Source organism: Homo sapiens, chromosome 20 (assembly GCF_000001405.40).
Source record: "Homo sapiens chromosome 20, GRCh38.p14 Primary Assembly".
NCBI lineage: Eukaryota > Metazoa > Chordata > Mammalia > Primates > Hominidae > Homo > Homo sapiens.
The window spans coordinates 61,356,649-61,378,995 of NC_000020.11; the positions used below are offsets into that span (position 1 = coordinate 61,356,649).

At 51.3% G+C, this 22,347-nt stretch overlaps 1 protein-coding gene across 3 annotated transcripts in view, besides 1 other annotated feature; it reads left to right on the plus strand.

Moving 5' to 3' along the window:
• CDH4 (cadherin 4) overlaps nucleotides 1-22,347 on the plus strand; it is a 688,357-nt gene that overhangs the window by 104,388 nt on the left and 561,622 nt on the right. The gene's annotated exons all lie outside the window — the stretch shown is intronic.
• Nucleotides 5,105-5,399: a silencer, noted in NCBI's record as "tiled region #1887; K562 Repressive non-DNase unmatched - State 21:Repr". NCBI's record gives its function as "represses a minimal TATA promoter and a strong SV40 promoter by Sharpr-MPRA in K562 cells {active_cell/tissue: K562}" and the evidence as "EXISTENCE:reporter gene assay evidence [ECO:0000049][PMID:27701403]".

Consider the following 22,347-nt stretch of genomic DNA (forward strand, 5'->3'; position numbering starts at 1 on the left):
TTTTAATTAGGATTGTAACAAGCTATTGAGAAAGTTTGAGCTAAATTGGTTCAGCTGTTTTTGCATTAGTGAAGCATGAAAAGAAATTTTTTTCATCTATTAGAAAATATTCTGTTTTTAAAAAATTAAGCCAAAGCAATGGAACATCAGCCAGTTTTGGATACTTAGTTAAAAAGTCAGCAGATTGGATCTAGGTGGGGATTATCTGGACAGATTTGAAAGATGTGAAATAAAGTTCAAAGATGTTATTCACGTTTAGCCTCTTTCTCTCGGCAGCTGTTTGGAAGGAAGAGATGGATCTCAAAGGCAGCCCATGTGCTAAGAGACGAGGGAATCTGTAGTGGGCCTGAACTCCGTGGGGTGTTCCAGGGTTAGGGTCAACCATGCTGGTGACCTTCTCCCCCTCACTGAGATGCGGGGTGCCAGGTTAACATGTGCCCCCAACCTCCGCCCAGGCTAGAAGCATGGCCATGCCGCCATCTTGGGAATACACTGCTAGGAAGTTCCTTCCTGTGTTGAGCTGAAACCTGCCTCCTGATTTCGTCCTCCCACACCTTGGCCCTCGCTTCTTCTCTATAATTTGTTAGTTATCCAGTTTTGCTTTGTTTCAGCCTCGCCTTGGACATCGTGTGCCCCTCCCAGCATTGTCTGAGACATCCGGTAGGCAGGGCAGAGGAGGACCGGCTGGTCCACACCCACTGCTCACCCTGCCGTGTTGCAGCCACACACACTGTTGGGAAATGCTCACCCTGCCATGTTGCCGCCACACACACTGTTGGGAAACCTCTGGGTTTCCCCGATTCCTGGAACCTGCCCTTCATCTCTGTGAGGTCTCACGTGAGCTCTTCACTCTGATGGTGATGAACTCTTTATGTTTCTCTTCTTACCAATTCTTCCTGGTTCCATATCCCCATTCCTACAGGGACCAGACAGCCCCCAGGGGGAACCTGGCCACCAGGCAGCCCATGACCTGCTGTCAGGGATGGACAAGTGGTCATTGCATCTCAGTGTAGGTCCAGTGTTGCTAGAGCTTCACCTCTTCCACAAGAAACCAGAAATCTGGAATTAAATGCAAAATCCCCTATTTTCAAATAGTGGCAGCTAATCCAAGGGTTGTAAAAACACAGTGCCGGCCTCACAAAGCAGACCCGTGTGCCAGCCAGGACCACATGCCTGCAAGTGATCTCTGGCCTTGACTCTATGATCCCCAAGGGCAGGAACAACGATTCTTTGCTTTTTATTTTTTTTCCCCAGTCACCCCTACAACACCGACATAATTATCTCTTGGTAGTTGTTCCTAAGTGTATTTGGCAGGGCGTGGCGGGGAGAACGATGGCGTTTTTGTGTGTCATGTTCAAGATTTATGACAATTGCACTTGGTCTTTGGATGTGCAGTAGTGCGCTCCTTCCCTGTCGCTCTGGGAAGACATGTTAGGACTCATAACTGTGGGTTGTGCTCATTTTCTTCTGCCTGGATATGGGTACTTTGAGAGATTCCTGTGAGCAAACCCCCGGGACGTGCTTCCTGCACAGAAACCTCGAAACCCCTCCTTTGAGCTGTTGGTTTAGGATGAGGAGTGTGCTGTCTGCCTTCCTCTCCCTCAGCCGACCCACTGTGTGCTGAGTGGGGTCATGGTCCTGCCTCCTTATTTCCCGAGGCACCAAGCCTTGTGCCCTGCACACAGCACCCACATCAGTCAGGCTATGCCCGCAGGCCTGACACTGACCTCCACGAGGGGCTCAGGGTCCGGCATGGCCATTTCTTTGCCATATCCCCAATGCCTAGTAGAGGGCCTGGGGCAGAGCGAACATTTCATAAATATTGGTTGAATGAAAGCTGAATAAACTATAAGCTTCCCATCACCTCCCTCCTAATTATTTTTGATGTCTAAATGAGGACAATTTAAATATCAGCATTATTCTGCTAATTAGTAAAACCTAAAATCCAGTCCCTTGTAAAGAGATATCCCCGTATTTTACACAGAGAGGGTCAAATGCACGGCCCTTCCCTGGTTTTCTATTGCAAACCTCACATTTGTCTTGCGAACACATTTGCCTGTTTTTGAAGGCTGGGTGCTGGAAGCTTCAGGCAACAGTGATCCCGGCCAGGGTCTCAGACAGTAATTCCCACCCAGGGAACAGTCGCTTTAATGCGGGGGGGAAGGAGAGGAGACCTGCATGAGCCACGGAAACCGTTCCCTCTACAGGGAGCCGTCATGCGGCATGCTCACCGTCAGTTTCAGCCCAGGGTGACGGGGGGGTTTACTCCGTGATTCACCGGCTTTTGGGTTCCAGAGCACCTCAGATAGAACAGGGGTCTCTAATCACAGTGTGCCACAGCATTCACGTCCTTATGCTTGTCAGAGGGTCAGGTTGGGAAGCCGGAATGTGGAGAGAGCCAGGCAGAGTTTCCCAGAATCAGCCAGCAAAGACACATGCCCGCATTTCACTCCCTGGCAGCCTGAGTTCGTTAACTCATGGGAAGTTTCGGTGTCAGTGACTTCTCATCTTGGCTTTCTTTTAATAAATAAACAATGAACTCACACATCACCACAGAAAGCCCCTCTTAAACCTGGCGAGGTATTTATTCTGTGTCGTTGGCTCACTTCCCTAGGAGTTTGGGGGTGGGGGGTGGACTACGAGGTCACTCATTTGTCAGCTACGCCGACCCCGAATTCTGTGGCCATGCGCCTGTGTGCGTGCTCTCCACCTTCCCTGTCCCGGGAGAACCTATGGTGAGAGGCCACAGAGGACTGGGCACCAGGCTCCCCTGGGAGCACCGCTGTGAAGCTCCCGACTTCCCCAGCACGCAGGCCGCCTGGACAGGAGGAGGTTCCTTCCCACCACCTCCACGCGGCAGGTTTGAAGGGCGTAGGAGTCTGGGCTGAGTCTTTGCTGTGTCCCACAAAGTGATACATGAAGCAGGTGCTCCGTGTCCCGGCCTGGCAACCCCTCGGTGCTTGTCTTTGGGGACAAGGACTTAGCATCACTCTCTTCTCTCCCACATCCTCCCTTTTTCAGCTTTAGCAAGAAAGGCAGAGAGGAAGGGAGAAAACCTAAAGGCTGCATTCTGCACAAACTGCTCCCATCCAAGTCTACAGTGTGCCCTGATGAAAGCCAGGCTGTGGGGGAGAGAAAAGAGAGAGACAGAGGCTTCACCCCAGCGAGATGGCAGTTTAAAGAGAGAGGCCTCAGAAAGAAAGTGTTTATTGAGTGATCAGCCATAATAAACTCAGATAAGGCAACAGATGAAACAAATCTTCCTGGAAGGAAAGTGATCAGAGAACAGGACTTTCTGGAAGGAATAGCAGATCATAACCAGAAGCTGAAATCTGGAGCTCTTGGTGAGATCCTGGTTCCAAAAAGAAGCAAACTGCCACACCCAGTTTTCACTTCTCATTGAACCAGAATTTAACCAGAATCACTAAAATCCAGGGGAGGCTGCCTGTGAGACAGAGTCTGCATGTTCTCGGCATCTTGGGGAAGGGAGATTTGCCACATCAGCTCGCAGGTTTGTCGGGCAGAGCCAGAGAAACTGAACTATGTCCTGGGTGTGCAGATCTGTGCTGGGCACAGCCAGAAGCTGTCAGACAATGAAAAAGTGTGTTCCTTACCCTTGAGGATCTTTCCAGGGTATGAAGGATACCAGGTGAGACGTGGGAGAGACCCAAGAAGTAGAAGAGGTGCCTATTGGGGCTGGTGTGTGCCCTCGGAGCAGGGCAGAAGAACATTGGAGAGAGCCGCGGTCAGGATCCCGGGTTTGTGTCTCAGGTATGAGCCTCTGCTTCCATCAGCCATGCATTCCTGGACAGTTGGCATCTGCTGGTAGTAGCTGTGAGCCAGATGGAGGACGCTGTCCAGTGCTGCAGAGATGAGACCCTCCCGCCTAGGAGCAGGGGGCCATGGGAGTCCTGCTCTCAGTACACTGTGAAGAGCAAAGTAACGGAGACACACTCAGAATGTCACCACCCAGTCCAGCCTGGGGACATGTGGCAATGGAGGGAAGTCAGAAGGGCCCCAGATGTTCCTTACGGTTCCACTCTGAACCTGATATTGGAGGCCATGGGTCATGGGGGTTTCTGAACTTCACACAAAATGGAAAAGAAAACTGTAAAGAATCTGTCAAAAGCAGTCAGATGATCAGAGGCATACGAACTCAATTCTAGAAAGGAGGCTTTGGTAACTAAGGGCTGTATACTTGTGAACCGATAGTTTTAACCCCATCCATCAAACAAAAAGAAGACGGACTGGTTATTCCCATTTCCACGGAGAGGCAAACAAAAGGAACAGCATGAAAATGTAGCAGGAGGAGGGTGGGTGGGAGGCCTGAGAGAACGCAGAGAATCACAGTTTCCAAAAAGGGGATGCCCTTCAAGTTCTGTTATTAGGAGAGGAGACAGGAGACTCAGGGAAAAGCAGGCAAGAGACGAGGCTGGCGTCATAGAGTTGGGAAGGGAGCGACGTGGAGACGACTTGGCTGGGGAGCCTGGGGTGACTCTCAGGCTGAGACTGAGAGGGAAGGAGCCCTGAGGGTTGCCCTTTCTGGCAACATGGAGCTCAGGGCCCTCCCGTTGCTCTGGAGACCCTGCTAGGGTTTCTGGGATGGGCCCTCCTTTGCCAAGAGACTTGCACGCATGGATCTTATGTGGGTGGGAGTGGGGGAGGATGAGGAGGTATTATTTCTTAGCTTTCATGATCACATGTGTCAAAAAAGAGAAGGGAGAACTTGTAGAAATGGGCAGATGAGAGAAGCACTTGGCAAGTTGATGAGTATTTGTAAATCACTCCCAGGTGTGATTTTCCAGGGGATGGGGAGGGGGATACAGCTGCAGTGATCAAAACAGACAACCAGACACTTTCCTTGGACCTCTTTCTTCTAATCTGCAGAGCATCTGTCTACTGGCTTTGGTTCCGAAAAGGAAGATGCTCCCATTTTAACTTTGGTTTCCGACAGTCGTGCGTGGAGGAGCCCGGCCTGACTCCTTCCTTGAACAGACATCCGCTGAGCAGCAGGTGACGGACCCAACCCAAGCTCAGGGTCTAAGAAGGGAGAGCTGGAGCCCGAGTCAGGAAAGCGGTGCAGGCATGAAGCCAGGGCAATGAGGCTTTCATCAGTCTGTGCTCGGGCATAGGGAGGAGGTGCCGTGGTGCGGAACCCGGGGTGCCTGCCCGCAAGAAGAGGCCAGCCCAGCACATAGCTTTCTCTCATGCCCAAGTACTGTTCCAGACCCAGGGGATCAGCTTCCTCTCATGCCCCAGGTACTGTTCCAGGCCCAGGGGATCCTGTGCACAGCAAGTAAGCCAGGCATCTGCCATCCCGGAGCCCACACTCTCCGAGAGGGGACCAGCAAGTGTCTTGCCCAGTTGGAGCAGCTCGGAGAGCAGTGGGTGCTGGTGAAGAAGATGCAGAGGGCTGCGCGTCCCTTAGCCAGCATGGTCGGTGAAGACCTTTGTGAATAGGAGACATTTGGGCTGAGACCTGAGAAGCAAGAAAGAGCCAGGAAGGCAATGATGAGGAAGAAGAAAGGTCCAGGTGGGGGCACAGCAAGTGCAAAGCCTGGCAGGGGGGGATGTGCTTGCTGCATTTGGCTGTGTGGGCCTTGGGGAGGGGTTTGGGGTTTTGGGGTGATGGAAGCCACAGAGTATTCAGCAGGGAAGGGGAGAGCGGAGACGTGGCCTAGGACAGCGTAGTGGAGAGCGGAGACGTGGCCTAGGACAGCATAGGGCAGGGCAGAGATGTGGCCTAGGACAGCGTAGGGGAGAGCAGAGACGTGGCCTAGGACAGTGTAGTGGAGAGTGGAGACGTGGCCTAGGACAGCGTAGGGGAGAGCAGAGACATGGCCTAGGACAGTGTAGTGGAGAGCGGAGACGTGGCCTAGGACAGCGTAGGGGAGAGCGGAGACATGGCCTAGGACAGCGTAGTGGAGAGCAGAGACGTGGCCTAGGACAGTGTAGTGGAAGTGAAGGGAAGTGGTGAGATTCAGCGGGTCAGGATGGGGGAGCAAAGGGGACTTGAGGTGAAGACACATCACAGTCCTGATGACCTCCGGGGCCATCAGTGCCCCTGGCTGGATGGGGTGGGGGGCACTCCCCGAGACAGGGGCACCTGAGACAGCATTAGGGAAGGAAGGAGGTGGCGAGAGGATCATGCGTTCTGTGTTGGGCCAGAGGAGATCAAATAACTGCCAAGTACAAGGGTCCAGCAACGTGCATCATTGGTCCAACTGGGTCTGAGTCCAAAGATGCCATTCCTAACTTTTCAAGAATGTGAACAGGTGGCTTTTTACAAAGCTCCGTGCCACCTGTGTCCTGTGCCCTTGTGCCGTGTCACATGTGAACTGTGTGTCCTGGAGAGTTGAAAAGTGGCTCTGGACTCTGGGGTTCCCATTTGTGAGGACAGTGAGTTTCTTCCAGCTCTGACATCTCCTCATTCTGGTGAGCTGAACCTGCTGCATCCGTGCCTTAGAATTGTGTCTGGGTTCCAGGACAGCTGCCGGCAGGTTTGGAGGCTGAGCACTGGACCGAGGACCTGATGCACATGTGTGAGCTGGCCATTTTCTCATCCTCCCATCCGTTTGTTCTTTAACTTATTCATTCATTTATCCATTTGCTCAACAAATATTTGCTCAACAAATATTGTTGAGCATCTATTATCTGCCAAGTACTGTGCAGGGTTTGGGGGATATAACGGCCAGGAAAACAGATAGATTCCTTGTCCTTATGGAGCGCCAGTCTTTTGAGAGGCATAAAAGAATCTAAATATCTCTCTCTCTCTCTCTCACATACACACACACACAAACACACACACACACCTATGACAAATGTTATAAAGAAGTCCTACACACACACACCTATGACAAATGTTATAAAGAAGTCCTGGACTCAACAGAAGTGTTAAATAAGGGGGATCTGGCCAAGTCAGGCTTCCTGAGGCAGCAAGAGTTAGGCTGATGCCAGGGATGAAGGGCAGGTGTCAAGGAGGAGTTAGTGTTCCTGACGGGGGCCACAGTGCATTCACACAGGCCAGAAGGTGAGAAAGTTGCCCCTTCGAGGAGAGAATCAACGTGGCCAGAGCTCAGAGGTAGTCAAGAAAGGTCAAATCAGGGAGTGAAAGCTACCAGGTCAGTGTTTCTCTAGGCAAGTGAATTGGAAGAAGTAGATATAGAAATCGTTACAGATGGTGCCTGACTTAGAATGATTCAACTTAAATTTTCAACTTCATGATGATGTGAAAGTGGTAACAGTAGAACCCGTACTATGATATTTGGTGAGAGAGGTGTATTAAAGGCATTTTCAGCTTGGGATATTTTCAGTGTATGATGGGATTGTTAGGACACAGTCCCCTCATAAGTTGAGGAGCATCTGAACTTCTAAATTGCTTGTGGCCAGCATTTCCATGTGTCGTTTAGACACTCACCATGCATTAACCCATAGACCAATATGCCATCTGAAGCAAGGACAGGAAAAGGCCTGGCACCTTGTCCAGCAGATCCCCGATTCCAGCTGTGCTCTCTCTACCCCAGCTCAGGCTCATCCAGTAGGAGCTGAGGATTTAGGAGGGTTTTCTGATCCAGTGGCCAGGCACCTTGGGAAGTGACGTCTCCCAGGGAACCCACATGGAAGCTGGTAGAGACACAAGCCGTGGGGGTGGAGCCATTGGGAGGACTCTTAGATCAACTTGCCCTGGTCTAGGCAACACCGCAGGGCTATCCCTGGGGGCTCCTCACACCCCGAGATCAGGCCCATGAATGTTCACAGCACTGCATGAGCTCAGGGCTCCCCATGGCCTTGGACTTGCTACCTGGAGGGCTCCTCTGTAGCTGCTTCTGCAGATGGAGATCAGCTGCCTCCACAGGGCTCAGCCTGGGCTTGTCTCTGTTCCGCATCAGGAGGGGGGTTCCAAGTGGGACCTTGAGGTCCACCTAGCCAGGTCACAGCTCACCCTCTCCTTGGCTCTCAGACTTCTACAGACATCCTGGTGCACATGCTGTCCATAAACATGTGCATAAACATGCACAAAGTTGTGCTTTTTTAAACCCCAGGGTGGAGATTCTGACCTCTGTCTTGCTTCTAGTGGATGAACATTAAAAGTAGTGAAATAGATCTGGTTTCAAACCCAAGCGATGATGAGGCTGCCTCAGCAGAAGACGATGAGAATTTAGAAGAGTTGCAAGATCCCTTGTGGCTTTCACAGTGCGGCCCCCGACGAGCAGTGGTGACAGCACCTGTTGGAAATGCAGACCCTCAGGCCCTCTTGCAGAGTGGGGACAGCAGGAACTCGGGTGGGGAGCAGCAGCTTTGTTTTAAGGAGCCCCCAGGGGATCCCAATGCCTGTTGAGGTTTAAGAACCACTGCCCTAGACCACATGTACCAAACTTGGCCCATGATGGATTCCAAGATATGGAATGGATCTCCTTTGAAACAAACTTTTGTCCTCTAGCCATTTACCTGTAGATTTGGAGTCTATAATGCACCTCAGTGCCCAACTCTACTGTGTGCTTGGTAAGATCATAGCAAGAGTCCAAGGTAGGTCATCATGGGGGCAGAAATGGTTTCCATGTTGTTTTGGTTCCTAGCTGTCTTTTTTGGTGAATAATCAAATTCTACCAAGAGTCAACATTTTGCTCCTAATGAGAAACCTAAGTAAGTACAAAGATGTCTTCTTCGTGGGGCTTGGCTTCTCTTTGTGTTTGCAGATGTCTGTTAGGAGCATTCAAGAACATGGGCGTGGCTGGTCCATCACGGGAGGGACGGGGTGGAAACCTGAGTGGCTCATAGTCAACAAGGGTCAGACGGGTGATGAGTGCTGGGGTATGAGGAGCAAAGGGGACAGGAGGCGGCACTCACTATCTCCAGAGGACCCAGAAAGGCTTCTGGTTGGAGCTGGGGGGTAATGAGGGTGTGGAGCTGACTCCTGAGGGTGGGCTCAGTGTGGGGGTCGAGAATGACTGTGAGCCAGGATGCAGCTGGCGAGGGAAGCTGGGTCTGAACCTGCCAGGGCCTGGTGCATTGGTGAGAGATGAGCTACTCATTGACGCAGCAGAGTCCAGCACAGCAGAGAGAGGCTCAGAACATTAGTGGGGCTGCAATGGGGCGTGCCTGCATTCCCTTTGGAGAGACAGTAACCAAGCTCACTGGGGCATGGCCTTTGAGAACGCTCAGATCAACAATCAATAGGATTTGCAGATAGTGTCCCCACCTTGCTCCTGAGATCCAAGGCAAACTCCACACAGGTGAGCAAGATTGGATTCCACACAGGCTGGGAGTGTTGAGAATGCCCTTTCTAAAGAGGATGCATGTATGAGCTGGGAGATAATTTAATGATAGTAAATTACCCAAATGCGGAATTAGACAGGCATGCAGCACCAGAGCCCAAGTTTTGGGGATGTGATAATGGTTTTCAGGCAGCTCATGGCTTCCCCAGTGGTGGCCGGCCAGCCGCAGTCAGAAGGAGGGTAAGTGTCCTGTGGGAAGAGGTTGTCTCCACTGAAGCACAGTTCTGCTGGAGAAAGGCTGGAGTCTTTGCAGTCCTCCAGGGCTGAAGACTCAACCCTAAAGAGATGTTCCTGAGTCTCACTTTGAATTCATTCCTAGCAGTTCTCTGCAGTCCTGGGAGGTCATTCTAAGACGAGATTTCTGTCTTGGCTTAGAGTCTGGTCAAGGTAGACCCTGTGACTATTTGGGAGATGAACCCAAGAAACATAAGGCGGGAGGCTGGGGAGGTGCCAAGACCAGCTCGGTCGGGGAGACCCTAACCCAGCGGTGCTAGAGGAATTAAAGACACACACACAGAAATATAGAGGTGTGAAGTGGGAAATCAGGGGTCTCACAGCCTTCAGAGCTGACAGCCCCGAACAGAGATTTACCCACGTATTTATTAACAGCAAGCCAGTCATTAGCATTGTTTCTATAGGTACTAAATTAACTAAAAGTACCCCTTATGGGAAACGAAGGGATTGGCCGAATTAAAGGAATATTGGGCTAGTTAACTGCAGCAGGAGCATGTCCTTAAGGCACAGATCGCTCATGCAATTGTTTGTGGCTTAAGAATGCCTTCAAGTGGTTTTCCGCCCTGGGTGGGCCAGGTGTTCCTTGCCCTCATTCTGGTAAACCCACAACCTTCCAGCATGGGCGTTATGGCTGTCATGAACATGTCTCAGTGCTGCAGAGATTTTGTTTATGGCCAGTTTGGGGGCCAGTTTATGGCCAGATTTTGGGGGGCTTGTTCCCAACAGGAAGAAAAACGGTAAAGGAAGAAAACCATAAAAACAGCATATTAACGGGGTCATAGCCCTGGACAACTGGAGCTTGGGCCCTTTGCGGACCCTCCAGACACCACACAGAACACATTGCAGGCAACGAGACAGCGGGGCCCATCGACCCCACCCACCCCATTGCTGACAGAGAGCCATGCCGGGACTACTCACTCGGGCAGATCCAGTCCACCCAAGCCCTGACTGAGCAAATGTGCAGGTCCTCAGGGAGGAGGGCGTGTGCCAAAGCAGCCACCAGAGCCGTCACTTCCCCCAGGCCAGGGTGGGACAGGGCTCCAGAGTGCCTCCGGGGGCTCCCTGAGATCACATTTCCTAACACACCTGAGAGTGTCTTCAGTTAAATGCTCGCTCTGTGCTAAACACATTCTGGAGCTGAAGCACAGCTGTAAACAAGGCTGACACAAGAGACAGTCAGTAAATAAGTGGACGAATGAGTAAACAGCAGAGCTCCTGCTAATTATAAGTGAAGCCAATTAAAAAAAAACAATGGAGAAAGTAAGAAAGTGCTCAAATAGTGGTGGGAATGTGATAAAAGAAAACCACAGAAGCCAGCTTGAAGGGGCTCCCACTGACCCAACCTTGAGCAGCTTGAAGGGGCTCCCACTGACCCAACCTTGAGCAGCTTGAAGGGGCTTCCACTGACCCAACCTTGAGCATCAGAAACAATGACAGTTATAGATCATAACCTCCAGAATAAACAGGAGCCCCGAGTCCACACTGAAGTAAATAGAGGAGAAAGGAGGAACAGCACTTTCTTGCGGCAAAATGTCAGCTAATCAATGAGAAGGGAATCATGGAATGAGAAAATCACCATTTGACAAGCATCATAACAATAATTGATTCAGGTCAGAAGCCTCCGTAGATGCTGAAACTACTGAGTGGAAGTTTGAGGACAAGTACAGGATGTATATTGTACATTGCCTGGAAATGCCTTTCTCCAGGATCTTTTTTTTTTTTTTTTTTTTTGAGATGGAATCTTGCTCTGTCGCCCAGGCTGGAGTGCAGTGGCATGCTCTTGGCTCACTGCAACCTCTGCCTCCTGGGTTCAAGCAATTCTCCTTCCTCAGCCTCCTGAGTAGCTGGGATTACAGGTGCCCACCACCACACCAGGCTAACTTTTGTATTTTTAGTAGAGATGGGGTTTCACCATGTTGGTCAGGCTGGTCTCAAAGTCCTGACCTCATGATCCGCCCGCCTCGGCCTCCCAAAGTGCTGGGATTACAGGCGTGAGCCGCTGCGCCCGGCCTCTCCAGACTCTTAATGATTACAACGGGAAAAAATAAATAGTAACTTCCCACTGGAGAAATGGCACGTACCTCCTTGCTGTGCTCTGAGTGTTTTATGTTCCTGTGTTGAAATCCTTACCCCCAAGGTGGGACATTTGGGAAGTGATCCATGAGAGTGGAGCCTCAGGAATGGGATCGGTGCACTTAGAAAAGAGGTTCCAGAGAGAACCTGCACCCCATCCGCCAGGTGAGGACACAGCAGAAAGGCACCGTCTGTGAACCAGGAAGAAGCCTGCACCAGACACTGAATCTGCAGGCACCTTGATCTTGGACTTCCCAGCCTCCAAAGCAATGAACAATAAATTGCTGTTGTTTATAAGTCACCCAAGGAATGGTAATTTTTTTTTTTTTGAGACAGAGTCTTACTGTGTCACCCAGGCTCACTGCAACCTCCACCTCCTGGGTTCAAGTGATTCTCCTGCCTTAGCCTCCCAAGTAGCTGGGATTACAGGCATGTGCCACCATGCCAGGCTAATTTTTGTATTTTTAGTAGAGATGGTGTTTCACCATGTTGCCCAGGCTGGTCTTGAACTCCTGGCCTCAAGTGATCTGCCTGCCTTGGCCTCCCAAAGTGCTGGGATTACAGGCGTGAGCCACTGCAGCCGGCTAGGATGGTATTTTGTTGTAGCAACCCAAAGGTACTAAAACACCCCTTAACGAAGTAATCAAAATTAATATCACTGGTAATTGAACAAATCAGTATCACTGATTGTTGACACAATCCACTGAGAAGGACGCAGCATCATTTTTGTGATATATCCCTGAAAATCCCGAATCTAATCATGAGAAAACATCAGAGAAACCCAAAGTGAGCAACATTCTGTAGTTCGTAGCCTACTATCGTCAAAAATGCCATTTTCATGAAATGTATAGACCGATTAAATCCAGATTAAAGAAAACTCCTGTCAAAACAGCAGTTGAACCCCTGGCCCAGGATAGTCTTTTGTTAAAAGACATTGTTAGGCTGGGCGCAGTGGTGCACGCCTGTAATCCCAGCACTTTGGGAGGCTGAGGCGGGCAGATCATGAGTTCAGGAGTTCGGGACCAGCCTGGCCAACATAGTGAAACCCCCTCTCTACTAAAAATACAAAAATTAGCCAGGTGTGGTGGCATGCACCTGTAGTCCCAGCTACTCAGGAGGCTGAGGTGGGAGAATTGCTTGAACCCGGGTGGTGGAGGTTGCAGTGAGCCAAGACCATAACATTGCCCTCCAGCCTGGGTGACAGAGTGAGACTCTGTCTCAAAAAAAAAAAAAAAAAAAAAAAAAAGAATGACATCGTTGGGGCAATAAGCAGAATCTGGGTTGGGTCTGTAGATTAGAAGATGGCATTGCATCTTGCTATGTGTACTGTGCATACGTAAGAAGATGCCCATGTTTTTAGAAGAGGCACATGGAAGGATGTATTAGAGATGAACCCAGTGGGGTTCTCAAAATCTACATGAAGGAATTACAGGAATTATTTGTCCTCTTCATGCAACTTTCTGTAAATCTAAAATTCTATTAAAATAAAAGTTAAAACCAACCAAAAAAAAAAAAGCAATGTCAAATGGAAAGGGACAGGGCTCGGGGGCACTTCAGACAGGGGATCACAGAAGACCCCTGCAGAGGCGCCATTTGAGTCACGAAAGAGGAGAAGGTGCCTGGCCACACAAAGATCAGAGGGAACAGAGTGAAGCGCCCCCAGTGGGGAGGACTTTCCAGAGTCCTGGGGACACAAAGGCTGGCATCCTGGGGACAGCAGAGGTAGGCAGCATGGCCCATAGGGCCTTGTAGACCCCGGGATAGGAGCGGGGTTTTATTCTGGTGTTCCAGGACCTGGTGGGAAGGTTTCTGAGCCATGCAGGGCCCCAGCCTGGCCTGCCAGGGCTGCATCCTGTGTCTACTGCTGGTCAGAGAACTGACTGGGGTTGGGGGAAGGGAGGCCCTGCTTTTAGCCAGGTGGCAGCTGATGGAGGCCTTCCCCGAGGGTGGGTGGCCCTGGGAAGTTGTGCGTAGGGAGGAGCCAGGTCAAGGAGGGCCCTGTTCTTTCACACTGAGCTCCTGGCTGGCCCTGGGGGTGGCTGTTGCCTGTGAAGGTAGAGTGCTGGGCTGGACCTCTGCATGCCTTCAAGGAGCTCCCGGCTCTGGGATCCATGCAGAGGAGAGTGGTACAGGTGATGCACGGGAGAGGAGCCAGGTGGTCCCTGGGCATGCAGGGGGCTTTGCAACCCCGACCACGGCCTCCTCCCTCAGTCTGTGGCCTCCTCCCTCTCCCCAGTGCCGCTGAGTGAGTGGTGGTCATTATTCCCACCAAGTCCAGGGGTTTCCTCCTCTATAGACAGGGAGTATCAGTTGCTTCTAAGGATTAAACTGGAAAAGGATTCAAGCCAGCACTGCCAGGAAGGGCTTTTGACATGCCTGCATTAAGGGAAGACATATCATTCCAGTGAGCATTTAAATACTGATTACATCTTTTGCTTTGTAAATAACTCAATGGTAAATTTTTACAATATTGTTTTTACAGAGACTGTAATGAGGAGGCAATTTTTCTCCCCTGTCACTTGGATATTAAGCTTTTTAATGAGAGTACACAAATGACTATATAAAACTTGGGATGGTGAGAGCTGAGTTGGGACTTAATGCGAAATTAAAGTTGTGCAGGCTCCAGCTCACTGATGAACGAGCCTTCTGTCATTGTGAGGAGCGGAATGGTGCCGGCTCTTTGTCCTTTCTCCCTCCCTTTCCCCCGCGCCGTTTGTCCTCCCGAGGAGCCTCAGCGCTCTGGGCAGGGGTCGCTTGGAGAGGCTTCCTGGGAACGGGGCGGGAGCGCGCAGCCTGGGGGATTTTTTATTTGGGAGCATGCCTACTTTTTAATTGGCCTTGGTGTTAATGAATGGATTCGTTCTGTTTGGAGCGAGCAGGCTGGGCACTGGAGCGTGTAATCTGATTGCAGCCGGGAGCTCGGAGCCCTGCAGAAGGCTCTAGAGTGGCAGGGACTGGTTTGGCCCTGGACTGTGCAGTGCTGGCGGTGATGGGGCCAGAAGGGTGGGAAGTGGGGAGAGGTGGGCACCTGCAGGATGGAGGCCATCAGGGCCATTTGCCCTCTTGCAGCGTCCCCCAGGCAGACCCCCTTCGGGCTCTGAGGCCGGGGTTGGATGAAGGGGACCCTTCCTGGGGCAGCCCTTGGTGTCCAGTGGACATTGAATACCTCAATACACACGACTTGTCCCCGCAGGTAAGAAGTGTCAGACGCTGCGGACGTGTTTTCACCCTGCCAGCTCTCAGTGCCATCGGGAAAAGCCTTCAACCAGCCGTCGTATAGGTGGACTGTCTGGTTATTCCCCAGACAGCTCGTTTTTCTTCCTGTGGCTTCTCAGCCTTTCAGCTCATTCTGCATTTGAACAATCCCTTCCCCAAGACCACCGGGCAGGCCTCTGCTGCGGGCCCCGAGCCCCTACCAAGGCCTGTGTGTGTTACCAGCTTCGTGGCTGGGTCCCGGCATCTGGAGGACAGAGGCCATGGGGCTCCCGTGGAGACCTCATCACGCACAGAGCAGCCCTGGGCTGGGCCGCATGGAAGGCGAAGGCTCGAGTCCAGAACGGGCAAGAGTGTGCTGGTGCACATCTTGAAGGCAGATTTTGAATCTGAAATCTTTTCCTGCGGTGATGTAAACCCCCACCCTCACCATCCGTCCCTCGCCCCTGGCCAAGTGTTTGTGACTGTCATTTGGGCTCCTTGTACCAAGCCCAGTCTTGTGGAGATGACCCAGAGTAATGTTTAATGAGGTCACGGGCAGGCCGCTTGTGTTTGTAAACACGTGCACATTCCAGGCTTACAGGGCTCTGAATTTGCTTCTGTGTTTGGATTCCATACTTTTGCTCCACATTTGTCACCCAGGTCTCTCCCTCCTGGGATAGAGAGAAGCCGTTCTCTGCCGGGTGTTTTGGCCCCTAAGTGAAGCGTGTGACCTGTGTGGATGCCCCATCTACCCCTGAAAGCCAAACTCCATGTCTTCCTGATGGCCCAGCCGTTGTCTGTGGCTTGGCTCCTGTGGGGAAGTCACACAGAGGTGACCTGGCCCATGGGTCTGTCCCATGCAGGCACAGAGGCAGCCGCAATGGGACCAGGCACCCAGCCCTCCTGCCCAGTGTTTACATCAGAAGGAAACAGCGTGCTCACGTGTCTACCCGCACACGCTTCGCCTCCTTCTCCGTGCAGCACCGCCCTGCTGAGCAGCTGTACTGTGGACTCTTCTGCCTGCAGGTCCCCATGGCTCTATTTGCAGACCCACCTCAGGGGCCTGACACAGACTAAGCAGCACAGATTCATATTTCAGTAAAGGGTGACATCCAGGAAAAGCTGGAGCCCTGCCGGACCTCTGGATTGCTCCTGGGTCACCCCAAAGCTGTGGTGGACTTGGGTGGCTGCAAAGATCTTGGTCCCCCTGGCATGGCTCCAGTTCTCGGTTACCCTGACGTCCCCTGAGATCCAGACCTGGAGCCAACCCTCCCCCAACCCCCACCCACGTGCCAGCCGGGTCTCAGTTTTGCCACAGATGAGGAGCAAAGCCTCCCAGGTTTCTGCCCACATAGGAGGGATGGCCGACTCCTAGTAGCAGGACACACTTACCAAGCTAGACTATTTCTTTCCACACCTACAGGGAAGGCTAAAAAGCATCCTGGAGGTTTCCGGGAATGAGATTCAAAGGGCGGAGGCCTCAGCAGCAGGCGTGGACACGCAACCCCAGCCCCGTGCCCTCCGCGTCCTTGCATGCATTTCACACGATACTTCAGATTTTTTTTTCATTTAGATGTTAACGCTTTTATAAAAAGTACTTTTCATAAAAATCCTGATTCCTGGCTAATTTTCTAGACAGTTGGAGGATTTGGCTTCCAGAGCCCACATTGCTGCAATGCCCCATGGCTGGCTTAGGGCAGCAGCTGTCCCTTAACTGGGCACGTCCTCTGTGTGGCCGACACTCCCGCCCCCGTCTCAACACCCAGGTGTGTGTCCTGCCGGCCCCGTAGCCTGGAACAACACCCTGTGTCCTGTGCCCTGGGCCGTCAGCACTAGGCAGCTCCTCTCGGTGAGGGCTGAGGGCATTGGGGCCCAGCATAGGCCCCAGCTCAGGGGAGAGCCAGGGATCCCGAGCAGGAGGGCTTGCACCCGTTGAATGAAATGGGCTATGCCCTTTAGCCACTTGTTCTGCATTGTTGGAAGCTGATTCAAAGACCCTTTTATTGTTCTAAAAACAGCAATGATATTCTTTGTTCTTTGAAGATAATGTGCTGGATGTTCTCCCATTACATTTCTCATAATGAATGTCGTCCTGGGGCTCGCAGGACCATTTGGACTTAATGGAGAAAAAGCAGCAGACAAAGCTGTAGCAATTCCTTGCTGCATCCACCCTCCCAGCAAAACGGGATTAGAACCTGGGGAATATGCGTTCCGATGACCAGACTTACACCTGAATTGCCAGGTGACCTTGGGCTGATTGTGTGGGATATTTGGGGCTGTTTTGTCCACTGAGGAATCACAATAATGTGCCTTCCCCTCTGGGTGCCATGCGGGTTGGCTGTTGAATGGGTTGGAAAGTGATTTGAACACATCGAGGGCAACATAAATGCTAAGTGTGATTTCTAAAATGCACAGCAGCTTGAAGAAGTAGACATATGTGGGTGACTGTATAAACTCTGAGGACTCAGTCACATTAAACATATGGATACACCTGTTCTCTTCAGAAAGTGATGGGGATGGGGCAGGTGTGGAACTCGTGGGGCAGTGGTGTTCTCTAGAGGTGGGGTGTGGCTGGCAGTGCGCACGGCGGGTGTGGAGGGTTTAGCGATACAGAGCCCGCGGGGCTCCTGCGTGATGGTGACAGAGCATGGACCCCAAGTTTTTAAACATCTATCAAGCACTGTCACAGAGCTGGCACTGAGCTTGGGGCTTGTAGGTTGGCAGTAGCACCTATAGGTTGGCACTAGCTCCCTGAGGAGCTCGCTGTCTGAAAGGGGAGAAGCATGTGGAAAAGTTGAGTTCTGTGCAGCGTGACGTGGAGGAGATGCGTGAAGCTGGACCAGGGGCCGTCCCCATGCACAGGACTCAGGGAAGGCTTCGCAGAGAAGGTGATGACTGGAGGAAAGGTGCAGTTTGAGGGTGACTAGGGCACCCCATCTTGGCAGCGTGACATGTCGTGGCATCCCCTGGGAGTTACCTGGGAGTCCTGAGAGGGTCTGGGAGGGGCAACTCTGCTTGCAGACTGCCCGATCTCGGGTCCTGGTGCTCCACTCACTTTCCCTGTGGCCTCGGGCAAGTTATTTAAGGTACCTGGACAACAGTTTCCTCAGCTGTGAGATGGGATGACGGTAGTACCGATCTCACACAGTTGTCACAGGTGTAAACCAAAAATAAAGTTCTAAGCACCCCCCAACCATCTGAACGGACTCTCTCCTAGGCCAGGGCTCTCTAGAATTTAACCTGAAAGATCGGTTTGGGCCTTGAGTGGAGTTCGGACATGCCTCCAGGGCTCTCTAGAATTTAACCTGAAAGATCAGTTCAGGCCATGATGGGAAGTGGGGGTCCGACATGCCTCATGATACCTCTCTGGCATTAACATCAACACAGTCCTCAAGTCTGATAAGAAACAGTTGCGACCTATTTCTTGGGAAGCGTGCCGCCTGGAGGCTGCATCTGCATTATACAGCTTCGGTCTCCACGACCTCCTATTGCAACCCAGACATTCCTTTCTATTGATAACTCTTCCAACCAATTGCCAGTTAGAAAATGTTTAAATCTACCTATAACCCGGAAGCACTTGAATCCTTCAAGTCATGCCACATTTCTGGACCAAACTAATGTCTTTCTTCAAGGTATTTGATTGTAGCCTCATGTCTCCCTAAAACCTATAAAACCAAGCTGCACCCCAACCACATGTTTGGGCACATGTTCTCATGATCTCCTGAGGGCTGTGTCACAGGCCAGGGTCACTCATATTTGGCTCAGAAATCTCTTCAGATATTTTACAGAGTTTGACTCTTTTTGTCAACATAGGAGTGATGCTTAGAAAAGTTCATGGTACCTACTAAGTGCTTGGTAATGTTGGGTGATGGTAGCAGTGCTGATGGAGGTGATGGTGGTGACAGTGGGGAGGTGGTGATGAATGTGGTGGCCATGCTGATTGTGATGGTTGGATTGTGGTGATCATGGTGATCATGGTGGAGGTGTTGGTGATGGTGCTGGTGGTGGTCTTGGTGGTGGTAGTCATAGCACTGGTAGTGATGGTGTGGTTTATTGATGGCAGTGTGATTGTCTTGGTGGTGGTGATGATGGTGTGGTTTGTTGATGGTAGTGTGATGGTCTTGGTGGTGGTGATGATGGTGGCGCTGGTGGTGGTCATAGCACTGGTGGTGGTCATAGCACTGGTGGTGATGGTATGGTTTGTTGATGGTAGTGTGATGATCTTGGTGGTGGTGATGGTGTGGTTTGTTGATGGTAGTGTGATGGTCTTGGTGGTGGTGATGGTGTAGTTTGTTGATGGTAGTGTGATGGTCTTGGTGGTGGTGATGATGGTGGTGCTGGTGGTGGTCATAGCACTGGTGGTGATGCTATGGTTTGTTGATGGTAGTGTGATGGTCTTGGTGGTGGTGATGGTGTGGTTTGTTGATGGTAGTGTGATGCTCTTGGTGCTGGTGGTGGTGATGGTGTGGTTTGTTGATGGTAGTGTGATGGTCTTGGTGCTGGTGATGATGGTGGTGCTGGTGGTGGTCATAGCACTGGTGGTGATGGTATGGTTTGTTGATGGTAGTGTGATGGTCTTGGTGGTGGTGATACTGTGGTTTGTGGATGGTAGTGTGATGGTCTTGGTGGTGATGGTGTGGTTTGTTGATGGTAGTGTGATGGTCTTGGTGCTGGTGGTGATGGTGGAGTGGTGGTGGTGATGAAGGTGGTACTGGTGGCAAATGTGCTCAAGATGGTGATGGTGTTGCTGATGTTGGTGATTGTGTGGGTGTGGTGGTGGTGCCAATGCCAGTGGTGGCATTTTTGCATTGATAGTGGTAGTAGTGGTGGTGATGTGCTTTGAAAGGAGCATAGGACCCCTGAGACCGGCCACAAAAGTGCCTGGAATTCTGCTGTGTGGGATGTGAGTGTTGTTGGGAAAGATCCCAGGGGAAGGAGGGCAAGAGGAGCCGGAGCCATCTTCTTGGAGAAAGCCAGGCTCTGGCCAGGCCTGGGAAGGGAGACAGCAAGACAGTTTCCTCAAGTTAGAGAAATGGAAATGGCACAGAAGTGGGGCAGGGGAACCTGCAGCAGGGACTGAGAGGGACATGGTGAGGAGGCTGAGGTGGAGGCGTGGGCTTGGGACATTCTGATGCTGGAAGGGCTCTTACTCCAGGCGGAGTTCAGGTCACCCATGGGGAAAGGCTAGTCTGGGGCCATGATGCATCTTACTGAGCATTCTCCCCCATGGCATATGGTTGGAGTGGTTCCCTCCTGTGGATCCTTCTGTGTGGCTGCTCCCGTTTTTCCCATCTGTCTCAGCACAGACCCCCAGGCAAGCCCTGGAAGGTGGGTGCTCACATTCCCATGCTACAGGTGAGGGACAAAGTTCAGAGACACAGGTGAATGGCCGGTGGCCAAGATCATTGGCACCGGGAGGCACTACCTACACCACCTCTCCTCTCTAGCACTTCCCTGTGGCAAATGCCCTGATCTGACAGCCTTCCTAGGTGGTTCTGACACTGATGGGCACAGTTCCTGAGTCAAAAGCCTGCTTTGCAATTCTTTGGGGCCAACTCTTTCATCCCAACCAGTGAGCGCTAGTTAGGCAAGCTGGAAAGCTGTAGGATGATCAAAATATGAACGTGCACCCACCACCAACACGTGAGGGCGGCTGCTGTCCTTCAAGTCTGCGTTGCCAAGGTAACTGGGGATTTGGAAGGGACAGCCAAGTGACATATTCTGCAAGCAGGGCTCGGCAATTATTGAAGAGTTGGCGGCTCAATCTAAAACGGAGGAGCCTTGAAGTTTGCAGAAGTGGAATAGAGGCATGGGGGGCTCTGGTGAGGGGCAGTGGCCGTGTTGCACTTTGTCACAGCATCATTTAGGTGACACAGCCCGGGACTCCTGGGCCCTGACGAATCCAAAGGGTCCCCATTCCATGTCTAAGTGCCCATCGGACGGTTGAGTTGTGTGGTCCAGGGCTCTGCCGGCCCCGCCTCCTGGTTGCCCCATTTCCTTCATCCTCTCTCCACCTCCCTGGTGCCTTTCCTGAGTGTAAAACCCTCCAGCACCAAGACATCCCCATGTGCACTTGTATAAAGAGGAGGCTGTGGTTACGGTGACCTTCAAATGTCCTTGTTAAATGAAACAAAACCATTGCATGGTGCTTTTCTGTAGTCAACGAGTCGCTTTAGCTTTCAAACAACTGTAGTGTCTTTAACTTTATCTGAAGAACGTGAACCAGATCCCCAGAAAGAACATCCCTTTCAAAACCAGAAGTCTTAGGCTGTTAATGTGCCATAACCACTGGCTCCAAGCAATTCTTCAGTGCTGTGTAAAGGGTACATTCCATCTGTTCCCCATCTGGACTCCTTAGGTCGGTCCACTGGCCTGTGCCTTGTCCTTAGAAGGCTGGAGGCCTGTCCTCTGTAGCAGAAGGGAGATCAATGCAGCCCTGCCAATTAGCGGGGAATTAGCTCACACATCCCTTCATGTGCCGTGATGTTGACTCACGTGATCTGGATAAATGACTTAGGAAAAATGGTTCTAAAGATTTCACTGGGAGGCTGGGTGTGGTGGCTCACACCTGTAATTCCAACACTTTGAGAGGCCGAGGTGGGCGATCGCTTGAGCCCAGGACTTCAAGACCAGCCTAGACAACATGGCAAGACCCCCATCTCTCTAAAAAATACAAATATAAGCTGGGCATGGTGGTGCACGCCTGTAGTCCCAGCTACTCAGCAGGCTGAGGTGGGAGGGCTGCTTGAGCCCACGAGGTTGAGTCTGCAGTGAGCCATGATCATTGCCACTGCACGGCAGCCAGAGGGAGAAAGCAAAACTCTCTGTTAAAAGAAAAAAAAATTTATTGGGATATAGTTTTCTTCCCTTTAAAACTTTGAAATTATAGTGTGTGAGGTTCCTGGGGCTGCTGTGGTCACCAATTAGCACAAGGTGGGTGGCTTAGAACAACAGAAATGTGTTGTCTCACAGTTCTGGAAATCTGAAATCTAAAATCAAGGTGTGGGCAGGACCATGCTTGCTCCCTCCCTGGGTTTCTCCAGCTCCTGCTGGCTCCGGCTTTCCTTGGCTTGTGACCACATCACTCTAGTCTCTGTCTCTGTCTTCCCGCGGCCTTCTCCTCTCATCTGTGTGTCCCTCACTTTGTGTCTTTCATAGGAACACCTGTCATTGGGTTTAGGGCCCAATCAGATAATCCAGAATGATGTCTTTATCTCAAAATTACTAATCACATCTGCCTGTAAATACCATTTCTCCAAGTAAAATGACATCATAGGTTCTAGGGATTGACAAGGATGTATTTTGGCCATCAGACAACTCATTCCATGTAGAAGGATGCTTTAGCATAATTTTTAGAACTTTTTTTGGAAGTATTTCTAGATTCACAGGGAAATTGCAAAGATAGCCCAGAAAGGTCCCTTCACTTGATGTCCCAAAGGTAGCCTTCAATTAACTGTAGGATGATGTCATCACAACCAAGACATTGACATTAGTCCAGTCCACAGATGTTAAGCATCCATTTTTTACTGAGGGCTCAGCTGTAAGTCAGAGAGACCCTCCCTTCCTCGCT